This window comes from Homo sapiens, chromosome 18 (assembly GCF_000001405.40).
Source record: "Homo sapiens chromosome 18, GRCh38.p14 Primary Assembly".
Taxonomy (NCBI): Eukaryota; Metazoa; Chordata; class Mammalia; order Primates; family Hominidae; genus Homo; species Homo sapiens.
Genome location: NC_000018.10, coordinates 9,056,806 through 9,068,743, shown reverse-complemented (window position 1 = coordinate 9,068,743; position 11,938 = coordinate 9,056,806). Strand labels below are relative to the sequence as shown.

The following is an 11,938-nucleotide window of genomic DNA, read 5'->3' as shown; positions in this document are numbered from 1 at the left end:
AATTTGGCTTCACAGTGGCCAGTGTCACGATGAGCTCCATGATGGTCTAGTATTCCATTTTAAGTTAACAATGTTTTCAAAGCACAGAGGTTGCTTACCACTTTATGAGTCTCACTGGAATACTGTCTGCTCATCTGCTGGAAATCACCTTCTCCCTTAGTTTATGTCCTTCTGAGTCATAGAAGGCAGGCAGACCTCAGGTGCAAAAGGCATTGATGGTAAAGGTGTGGGAGGAGGAGGGACATAAGAGACTGGAGGAGAAAGGCAAGGCGTGGGAGAGACAGTGGAGAGCTGGAAGAGGAACTTTCTTATTGTGTTTTTAGGGGAAATGTTTCATCAAAGGCTGCTGTGCCTACCACTCCTAATGGATGAGATGATTTTAGGTGGTAAACAGTTGAACATATGAAATTTCAGAACAAAAAATGAAAAAAGATGAAAATAAAATAAATTTAAAAAAGAAATAAAATGTCAGGTCATGCGTGGTGGCTCACACCTGTAATCCCAGCACTTTGGGAGGCCGAGGCAGGTGGATTGCTTGAGTTGAGGAGTTTGAGACCGGTCTGGGCAAGGCGGCAAAACCATGAGAACAGATTGGGGTTGGGTTGGGCTCAGTTTCTGACATAATCGTTCAGGATTGGAAGGCATGTGAGGCAAAGGTCCTTAGGAGTAAACTTGTCTAATAAACGAGCTCTTTGCCCAGGTAAGCAAACTGCCTGCCCAAATACATTGATTTGCAGGAATTTTCTGAAGCAAATTGCCAAGTTACATATTGGCTTACAGTCTTATTTTCCTGGGCGAGTGTTTCCTGGAAAAAAAGCTGTGTCATATTGACATTGATGGACTCAGTGCTTATAATTATTTGTTTAGTTAATGTGTGTTTGAAAATATATAACTAGGCCGGGTAAGGTGGCTCACACCTGTAATCCCAGCACTTTGGGAGGCCAAGGTGGGCAGATCACCTGAGGTCTGGAGTTCCAAGACCAGCCTGGCCAACATGGTGAAACCTCGTCTCTACCAAAAATACAAAAATTATCCATGTGTGGTGGTGCACGCCTGTAATCCCAGCTACTTGGGAGACTGAGGCACAAGAATCACTTGAACCCAGGAGGCGGAGGTTTGCACTCCAGCCTAGGCAACAGAGTGAGACTCTGTCTCAAAAAAAAAAAAAAAAAAAGGAAAGAAAGAAAGAAAAGAAAATATATAACTAGTGACATTTTGAGGTGGATGATTCAAATAAAATAAAAAACTAAACAAAAAATAAAAAAAAAAGTAAATATATAACTAGCATATCCAACCACTGATCTTGAAGGTAATATTATTTAGGGCAACACTGAAGAATATTGGGTTTAAAGTTAAAAACTAAGTGATTTAAAGAAAAATACATTAAATAACTAATAGTACGGATGATACTTATTTATCTATGACAAAAATTGTGACCACTATAAATGAAAGACTGAAATGTGAAAAGCACGGCTCAACACTGTCAGAATATCTCGGTAGGGTCTAGGCTAGAGGACAGCCCTAGCACAGGGGAAGGTGTGTAACTCATAGGTGAATCATCAGAAAGAACCAGGGGAAGAGAGTGGGGTTGCAGAGCTGGTCACCTGATCTGGGAGGGACATGAACACCCACTGGGTTTGGTGTCATTTCTGTTGTGCAAATGAACTGAGAATTAGAAAAGTCCCCCTGGCTGGAAACAGAGTTTGTAGTGGACCTACTTGGGTCTAAAGCTTTCAAATAGGAAGTAACAGTTGGGTTGGAAGATCCCATGAAAGGCGGTTGGGTTCCCCAAGAGAGGCACCTGCCATCGCGGTCACCAGGCCCCACTGAGAACAGGCCAGGTGCCAACTGAACAGCATAGTGAAGAGGGGCTGAAATTCATTTAAGGTCAAGCCAGCCTATATGGCTTGGTGAGGAATATTTTGGACAAACTGAGAAGGACAGAAGGCAAAGGCAAGGGCAGCTTCTGGTTTTCTAGGAGTCTGAGCCAAAGAAACTTCCAGGGTGGAGCTGGTATAGGGAAAAGGTAACATCCAAATCAATGCAGGCCAAGGTTAGCTTGAATCCAAGAAGAGGAACCTTTGGGACCAGACAGGGTAGGGCCTTAGGTAGAAACCCCAGCAACCAGGGCAGAATTCTGAGCAACTGCTGTTCTCAGGTGGCTGCTGAGACCAAATAAAGCTTGGTCCTGAGTCAGCGGCTGATGTAGTAAAAAGGGAGCAAGCACGGATGTGGGTTCTGAAAGTTGCTAAGAATCTCACTACCGGGAATCACCTGGGGGCCTAAACCTTAGGTAGCTTTACCAGCATTCTATTCCAGCCAAATCCTAGAGTAAAACCTAGAGAATCCTGAAAGAAGACATTCTAAAAGTAACCGTAGGCCAGGCGCCATGGCTTATGCTCATAATCCCAACACTTAGGGAGGCCGAGGCGGGAGGGTTGCTTGAGCCCAGGAGTTCAAGGCTGCAGTGAGCCAGTGAGCTTGGGAGATAGAGCGATACCTTGTCTCAAAAAAAAAAAAAAAAAAAGTAATCCTAGCCCTAGTACCTTTCCTTCAAGACAAGGACAAAATATTGTTGATATTCTGCAAATCCACGATTTCTAGTGGTTCTTGTAACAGCTGCAGTGTTACTCACTGCCTTGTTAACTCCTTGTTAGCTCCCCCGACCAGTGTTGCACGTTGCACTGTGGCTGGAGCATGGCTGCATGGTCAGACTGTTTAGGTACACATGAATGTTCCATCATTCAGTACTCAGAGCACCTCAGACAAGTCACTTACCCTCACTGAGGCTGAGATTTTTGCATTTGTACCTACTTCGTGGAGGTACTGTGAAGTGGGAGTGACAGAATTTATGTAGAATGCTCAGCACATGGTGAGCACGTCATAAATATTAGCTGTTAGCTCTTACTTTATTTATTCATTTATTTATTTTAATCTTTTTTTTCTTTCTAGCTCTCATTTTAATAAAGCTTTAAGGGGATTTTTGATTTGGGATTTTTACTTCCCCTGGACCTGGAGGAAGAGAAAGGAAGGTCAATGAGAGCGTGATGACGGTGCAGAGGCACCTAGGCAAAGCTCTGTGGCCTTTGGGAAAAGACACTACTTGGCTCAGGGCATTAAATACATGTGTGACCTTAATTCTTCTGTCAAAACAACAACAACAAAATCCCCAAACTATGAAAAGCCACAGACTTCTAGGAATAGAAGACAAAAGGAGGAAGGAGGAGGAGGAGGAAGATACCAAGGGGAAAATGATGTGAAAAGCTGATTTTGTAGCCCTGAGCATATAGGAAAAGCCTCCATGGTGATGACTTCTTTGAATAAATGTTGCTTAAAGAAAAAGAAGGCACCAGAAAGAGCAGAAAACAACTGGGTGAATGAAAGAAGAATGTCATGCAGAGGAGAGGTATGTGCAAATGCAGATATTCCATGAAAAGCTATAGCTTTTTTTTTTTTTTTTTTCTTTAGGGAGTTTCACTCTTGTTGCCCAGGCTGGAGTGCCATGGCATGATCTCAGCTCACTGCAACCTCCACCTCCCAGGTTCAAGCGATTCTCCTGTGTCAGCCTCCTGAGTAGGTAGGATTACAGGCACCCACCACCATGACTGGCTAATTTTTGTATTTTTAGTAGAGACAGGGCTTCACCATGTTAGCCAGGCTGGTCCCAAACTCCTGACCTCAGGAGATCTACCCACCTCAGCCTCCCAAAAGTGCTGGGATTATAGGCGTGTGCCACCACACCTGGCTAATTTTGTCTTTTTAGTAGAGACAGCGTTTCATCATGTTGTTCAGGCTGGTCTCGAACTCCTGACCTCAGGTGATCCACCCACCTTGGGCTCCCAAGGTGCTGGGATTACAGGCGCGAGCCACCGCCTGTATAGATTTTATGTGAGTATAATTGTAATTTTGTGAAACATGTATCTACATTCATAATAATTAGAAGAAAATTTAGAATAATTAAAATAAATTGTTCGGTAAATATTTAAAGATACTTAATCACCTAAAAAGTATAAAACAGCCTATAATCCCAGCACTTTGGGAGGCCGAAGAAGGTGGATTGTTTGAGTTCAGGAGTTTGATACCTGCCTGGGCAACATGGCAAAACCGAATCCCTAGAAAAAAAAATACAGAAAATTAGTCAGGTGTGGTGGCGTGCCTGTGATCCCAGCTACTCAGGAAACTGAGGTGGGAGGATCGCTTGAGCCCAGGAGGTTGAGACTACAGTGAGCTGTGGTTGTGCCACTGCACTCCAGCCTGGGCAACAGAGCAAGACCCTGTCTCAAAAACAACAACAACAACAACAACTGTTTAAACAAAAAAAGACAAAACTGTGTTCCCATAGGAACGTTGTTTTTGTTGAGTCCCAGGCTATAACTTTTTTTACAATTTTATTTTATTTACTTATTTATTTAGGATACAGAGTTTTACTGTCAGAGGCTGGAGTGCAGTGGCACAATCTCAGCTCACAGCAACCTCTGCCTCCCGGGTTCAAGGAATTCTCCTGTCTCAGCCTTCCGAATAGCTGGAGTTACAGGCACCCGCCACTACGCCTGGCTAATTTTTGTGTTTTCAGTAGAGACAGGGTTTCACCATGTTTGCCAGGCTAGTCTTGAGCTGCCGACCTCAGGTTATCTGCCCATCTCGGCCTCCCAAAGTGCTGGGATTACAGGTGTGAGCCACAGCGCCTGGCCCGAGGCTATTATTTTTGATAAGAAAATGTTTTGTGATTTTGCATTTGCCTAGGAAGGCAATGACTGACACATCTGACACATTTATAATCACAAATTAAAACAAAAGCACCAGAACTCCCCAGGTCAGATAGGATGCTGGGTATGCCAAATTGGAGCATGCAGGATGTCAGACGACTTCTCTGAGGGCACTTATATTTCCTTATTTCTTTATTCGCATCTGGTTCTCCTTTGTTACTCTGTAATGCCCTATACTTCTCCAAATACAGCACTTACCCACTGTATTATAAGTACCTGTTGATTTGTCTCTCTCTCCCCCTTGAACTGCAATTGAAAAAAGTAAATGATAAATATGAGTAGAATTAATGAATTCAACAACAATTTATTAGATACCTAGTGTATGACAGACAGCTTTTAGGCATTGGGGTTTGGAGCACAGTGGCAAATAGAATCCCTGACTTCATGGAGTTTTTATTGTAGTCAGAGGAAACAGATCATAACAAGGAAATAGACATCTTCACTACCTCAGATAGTGATAAGTGCTATGGATAAAAATAACACAGGGGGCTGGGCATGGTGGCTCACGCCTGTAATCCCAGCACTTTGGGAGGCCTAGGTGGGAAGATTACTTGAGCTCAGGAGTTCGAGACCAGCCTGGGCAACATGGCGAAACCCCATCTCTACTAAAAATACAAAAATTAGCCAGGCACGGTGGTGGGCGCTTGTAATCCCAGCTACTAAGAAGCCTGAGGTGGGAGAATCGCTTGAACCCGGGAGGTGGAGGTTGTAGTGAGCCAAGATTGCATCATTGTACTCCAGCCTGGGCGACAGAGTGAGACTCTGTCTCAAAACAAACAAACAAATAAAGCAATGGGGAATGCTGGGGTAGGGGAGCCCTGAAGAAGCAGCAGGAATAAGCCCCGTGGACAGCTGGTGGAGGGGGCATCCGGGCGGAGGGAGGGGTTGTGCATATGCCAAGGGCCAGGCATGGGCATTTGTGTTCCAGGTATTGGGGGGTGGGGCATGGGGAGGCCGTGAGAGGACAGTAATCAGATCAAAGAGATGTAGGACCTTGCACGTCACTACAAGGAGTTAGCTTTCTTCTCTTCTTCCTCCTCCTCCTCCTCCTCCTCCTTCTTCTTTCTTTGGCTAAAGCTGTCCTCCCCTCAGCCTCTTGAGTAGCTGGGACTACAAGTGTTCACCACCACACCTGGCTGGCCTTCTATTCTGAATGAGTTAGGAGTCAATGGGAGGTTTTGAGTAGGAAGAGATATGATGTGGTTTTCCATTTGGAAAGGACCCTGTGGCTGCTGAATTGAGAATGGTGTGAGAAAGTAAAGACTGAAGCAGAAAAACAGTTTGGAGGCTACTGCAACAATCCAGGCAAGAAGTGATGGTGGCTTCATCATGGAGGAAGGGAGCCACTCAGGTTCTGGATAGCCTGGGAGGTTGAGCAAGCCATGAAATGGGAGAGAAAAAGAGGAATCAAGCCTGATTCCGAGACTGCTGGCAGGAGCGCCTGGAAGGATGATGGTTACCTTCTCTATGGAGGGGAAGGTATGGGAGAAGACAGCATGGTGTGTGAAGAAGTCCAGAAGTTTGGTTTTGGACATATTAAGTTTCAGTTGCTTAGTAGATATATCTTTCTTATTTATGTTGAATTCTCCATCCAACTTAGAGGGTAGACAGGGTTTCTTTTTCAGTATTACAATCTAACAGGAACTGAGAACTTACAGAACAGACCAGTAGGAACTGAAACAGTAGAAGGGTTGGGGAAGAGGGTTTTGAGTGTTTTTGTTTAAATATAAGGAGACAAATTTACATCCCACAATCCGTTTTCCTTCAGCAACTAGTAGTACTTTTCTCGCAGTCTTTAACAGCTAGCCAGGGCCACTAGCTCTCAGTGTTGTACTCCCTTGGACTAGGTAATTCTGAAGGAAAGATCAGAATAATGAGAAGTATGTGGGTCCTATTGGGAAAGGCAGCCCACCATGGACCCTGAAGGTCCCTGCCTGTTCTTGCTGAGTGTGCTGGATTTTTTTTTTTTTTTTTTTTTGAGACGGAGTCTCACTCACTCTGTCGCTCAGGCTGGAGTGCAGTGGCGTGATCTCAACTCACTGCAACCTCCGTTTTCTGGGTTCAAGCTATTCTCTTGCCTCAGCCTCCCGAGTAGCTGGGATTACAGGCATCCACCACCACGCCTGACTAATTTTTGTATTTTTAGTGGAGACATGTTGGCCAGGCTAGTTTTGAAACCCTGACCTCAGGTGATCCGCCCTCGTTGGCCTCCCAAAGTGCTGGCATTACAGGTGTGAGCCACTGCGTCCAGCCGAGTGTACTGGATTTTAAGACTGATCTGTCTCCTGATACTGAATGGTTTCTCTGGTTAGTCACACAGGCAATTAAGCAGGTCAAAGTGGAGAAAGACTGGCTTATTTGCTGCTTGCTCAAGGGCTGGGCCCTTAGCCCTGGGTTCCTCTCCTGTAATGCAACCCACTGCATGCGCAGGTATCATCTAGGACTATCATGTCATCCCTGTGTTGTGTATGGGGAAGGGAACTAGTGCAAATATGCTCATGTTGTTTGCTGTGCTGTGCTGTTAGTAATAAAATCCTTTGTCTCTGACCCAAGAGTCTTATGTCTTCTGCCAGCATCAATGAAACAGTTAACAGTGTAAGTTGGAGAAAGTTCCAGAGCTTTTACAGTTCTTGACAGGCCTCATCTCTCTCAAAGGAGTCTAAAGCTCCATCTGGGATTAAGGGGTAGCTTGGGGTGAAACATGATGGGGATCTGGCCAGATGCCCCAGGTCCAGCTAGGAAGGAATCCATTTTCTCTTGGGGACTTTGGTACTGAATGAAATATTTGGAGATGGGAGCAAAATGAAGGAAACAGATTATATGAAGTTTAAGGGATTAGGCTAATTTCCAATTTGTTGATACTCCTTGATTCAACATATAGTGGTAAACATGAGTCCTTTTGTAATCCCTTAGGCTTAAGTAGAAGATGGGGACAGGTGGAAAGTGCATTTTTAGAGTAAAGGTAGCAGATAATGATTGCTGAAACAAAAGAAATCCAAGTCCACTTTTGCCTAGGGAGGGACAGTTGGCCAGGCCACAAAAAAAAAAAAAAAAAAAAAAAAAAGAAAGAAAGAAAGAAAGAAAAAGAGCAGGGCCTGAATTTTTACAAAGAAAATCAGTTCGCCATTTCCTTTTAAGAAATTTTAGCCTGGCTAGACCACTGGTGTGCTGACTCTCCTCATTCACATTAATTACTATGGAGACCACCTCCCTTCTGTGTGGTGCTGATGCCCAGTGAGGGACCATCCAGCAGATGCCTATGGAAGTGCTGGGGGAAGTACAAGGCCTAGAAGAGTTTATTTATTGTCTATGGGAACACCAGAAGGAGATATCATTTCAGTAAGCATCACCTTTTAAAAATGGACAGTACTGGCTGGGCGCGGTGGCTCAGGCCTGTAATCCCAGCACTTTGGGAGGCCGAGGCGGGTGGATCACGAGGTCAGGAGATCGAGACCATCCTGGCTAAAACCGTGAAACCCTGTATCTACTAAAAACACACACACACACACACACACACACACACACACACACACACACACACTCACAAATTAGCCGGGCTTGGTGGTGGGTGCCTGTGGTCCCAGCTACTCAGCAGGCTGAGGCAGGAGAATGGCGCGAACCCGGGAGGCGGAGCTTGCAGTGAGCGGAGATCGCACCACTGCACTCCAGCCTGGGTGGCTGAGCAAGACTCCGTCTCAAAAAAAGAAAAAAAAAAGGACAGTTCTAATTTAGAAACGTGCTAAATACCTGAAGATCTGCAAATTTATTATTATTATCATTATCATTATTATTATTATTTTGAGACAGAGTCTTGCTCTGTTGCCCAGGCTGGAGTGCAGTGGTGCAATCTCGGCTCACTGCAACTTCTGCCTCCCAGGTTCAAGGGATTCTCCTGCCTCAGCCTCCCGAGTAGCTGAGATCACAGGCACGTGCCATCACACCTGGCTAATTTTTGTATTTTTAGCAGAGATAGGGTTTCACTGTCTTGGTCAGGCTGGTCTCGAACTCCTCAGCTCAAGCAATCTGCTCGCCTCGGCCTCCCAAAGTGCTGGGATTACAGGTGTGAGCCACCACACCTGGCCCCAAATTTATTGTTTATACTATATGCGGTGTAATCCTTCTTCCTTCTATTGGAGCCCATCTTTTTTGAGTTGATATCAATGATGAAAAAGGGAGAGAGTGCATGATGGCGCTTGTCTGGAACCATTGACACAAAAAGCACACGGATTAATCAATACTGCAGCAATAGGCTTGAGTGAGATACAGGGAAATCTCATTTTCCCACCAGTGATTTCATCAGTGGTTTATCCTGTGGCCCCTCTAGCTTCTTCAGCCCTCTGGCTTGCCAAGTCTGTTCCTAGAGGGATGAGGAGAGGGTTAGTTTGACACACTGTGACAAATGTTACATAAGTACCTGATGTTGATAGACATACTCTGTCTTTCCCTTGCCCCCTTAAGAAAGTAGAAGGGTCCCTGTGGCTCATGCCTGTAATCCCAGCACTTTGGGATGCTGAGGTGAGAAGATCACTTACGCCTGGGAGTTTGAGACCTGGGCAACAAAGTAAGATCCCATCTGCGGAAAAAAAAAAAAATTAGCCTGGCCTGGCATGGTGGTGCACGCCTGTGGTCCCAGCTCCTTGAGAGGCTGAAGTGGGAGGATTGCTTGAGACAGGAGGTTGAGGCTGCAGTAAGCCCTGATCATGCCACTGTACTCCAGCCTGGGTAACAGAGCAAGAACCTGTCTCAAAAAGAAAGTAGGAAATACTTAATTCCAATATTTTTTATCCCTTTGAACTACACTGCCATCCCCAATAGGAAAAGATAAGAAAATGGAAAGATGATGAAATTGAAAGATGCCAGAAGCCATTTTGATAAGAAGTAGGAAGCTCTGTACTTCTATACATATATAATACTCTTATTTCACAGAGTGTATTGGCTGAATTTTTAAAAATCTTTATCTTCCCCCATACAAAATAGCCTGTCTTATTTTAATGTGCAAAATTTCTTATTACTCCTCTTACTCACTGTTCCAAGCATTTCTATAAAAGGACAAACATGATATCTCAAACTGAAGTCTACATCACTGACTTCCAAATTAGATTCTCATTATTTCTATCCTCTTCTGCTCTCATGTCTTACAACAAAAAATGCATTAATTGCAGACAGTCTCTGAATCAGGCTCCTGCAATAGGGTTGGTGAATTAATGGAAGTTTCCGCATCATTTAAAAAACGAAGAGCACTAGTACAAATTCATTGTTTCTACAGCAGGGATTTTTGTGGGTAATCATTATCTGCCTGAGTCCAAAGACAGAGATATAATTACATTCTTCTCCGGGGAATGGTCTGTTGAGAAAAACACTTCCAGCTTTGTTGCTGAGAAGCAGCATTAGGGCTGGAAAAAAAAAAGAAAGAAAGAAATACCGATTATCATGTGTTCTGGAAGGGAGGGACTGATGGTCTGAGAAGGAGGCATGTACACTGCAGGTTTTTGAGTAGAGAAATGTTTCCTCTAGGTCCTGAGCTTTTTCTATGCATTCCAGACCATCCCTAGGTTGTGATACTGGGTAACCAAACAGGCCTATTTTTCAGGGTACCCGAACAGCCACGTATCAGCTCTCCAACTATAGGGTTGTCACTGTGCTGTCCACTACAGGACATAGGAACTTCCCACATCAGCCATGTGTTGTTTCCCATACAATGGGTGGGTTTGGTAGCTTGGTGAATGACAGTCCAATGACCAGAACCAAAGAGGATTGTTAACAAGGGGATTTTCTTACTTGCAACAGATAAGAACACCTGGTCCCAAAGCAGTACCTCCCGGGACTGGGAGCTGGATCTAGTTTTTATAAGCAAAGGGTAATGAGGCATGATCTCACTGGATCCTGCCATGGGGTGACGCCACAGCTAGATCTGATTGGATCCTGGATCCTGCCATGGGGTAACGCCACAGCTAGATTTGATTGGATCCTGGATCCTGCCATGGGGTGACGCCACAGCTAGATCTGATTGGATCCTGGATCCTGCCATGTGGTGTCCACTTCTTAATCCAGTCCCCTGCCCTCAGCCTGAGCACTTAGGTTCCCCCTGTGATTCTTGGTTCATCTGGGCATGCCCAGGTCACGTGACCCAAGGGTCCAGGGCAACTGAAAAACAACCCACAACTTTGTTACATAAAAGATGAATCAGATGGGTCTGGTGCTATAATGTGACTATGGAACCTGAAATATGGCTACTTTGAATTGGAATGTGTTGTAAATGTAAAATACATTTTGGATTTCTAAGACTTAGTACAAAAAATATATATAAACCATCTCATTAATTTTTACATTGATTACATGTTGAAATCAGAATATTTTGGATATATTTGGCTAAATAAAATATATAATTAAAATGAGCTTCACCCATGTCTTTTTGCTTTTAAAACTGTGGCTACTATAATTTTTTATTTTTTTGGGGGGACAGTCTCACTCTGTTGCCCAGGAGTGCAGTGGCACAATCTCAGTTCATTGCAACCTCCACCTCCTGGATTTGAGCGATTCTCCTGCCTTGGCTTCCTGAGTAGCTGGGACTACAGATGCTCACCCTCACGGCTGGCTAAGTTTTGTATTTTTAGTGGAGACAGGGTTTCGCCATGTTGGCCAGGCTGGTCTTGAACTCCTGACCTCGAGTGATCCCCCTGCCCTGGCCTCCCAAAGTGCTGGGGTTACAGGCATGAGCCACTGCGCCTGGCCTGGAAAATTTTAAGTTAAATGTATTTCTGTGGGAAAGCACTGCTCTAGAAATTCAGAACAATAGAATAATTGCATGTCAGGGAGAAGGAAAACAAGAAAAAAATAAGTATGCTGACTTTTCTTCCTCTTCTGGGTCCTGAGGGAATTAGAGAAGAAAAATATATCTTATATCTTAGAATTTTCGAGCTAGCAAAGCCATTAGAAATGACTGAGTCTGATACTTCTCAAAGCAGAGAACCTATCAGCTTCTGAAAATAATTCATAGATGGGGAGGAGTCCTCAGAACTCAGCTTGAGAAGCTATGGTGGCATCCAGCGAACTTACTTTGTAGATGAGGAAACCAAGACTCAGGGAGTCTAAGTGGCATAAGGGCAGCCTGCTAGTCAGTGGAGACCTACGACTAGAAACCAGGTCCTCCCTTCGCCCGCTCTCCTCTCTGG

The 11,938-nt window shown here is 44.5% G+C and overlaps 1 long non-coding RNA gene across 1 annotated transcript, besides 1 other annotated feature; it reads left to right on the top strand.

Annotated features, from left to right (window-relative positions):
• Positions 1,873–2,092: an enhancer, noted in NCBI's record as "active region_13066". NCBI's record gives its function as "activates an Ori minimal core promoter by ATAC-STARR-seq in GM12878 lymphoblastoid cells {active_cell/tissue: GM12878}" and the evidence as "EXISTENCE:reporter gene assay evidence [ECO:0000049][PMID:35858748]".
• Positions 2,953–7,313, top strand: LOC124904243 (uncharacterized). Its single transcript, XR_007066278.1, has 2 exons — positions 2,953–3,406; positions 5,986–7,313. It is a non-coding gene; the product is annotated as an uncharacterized LOC124904243 (long non-coding RNA).
• The last annotated feature ends 4,625 nt before the right edge of the window (positions 7,314–11,938 follow it).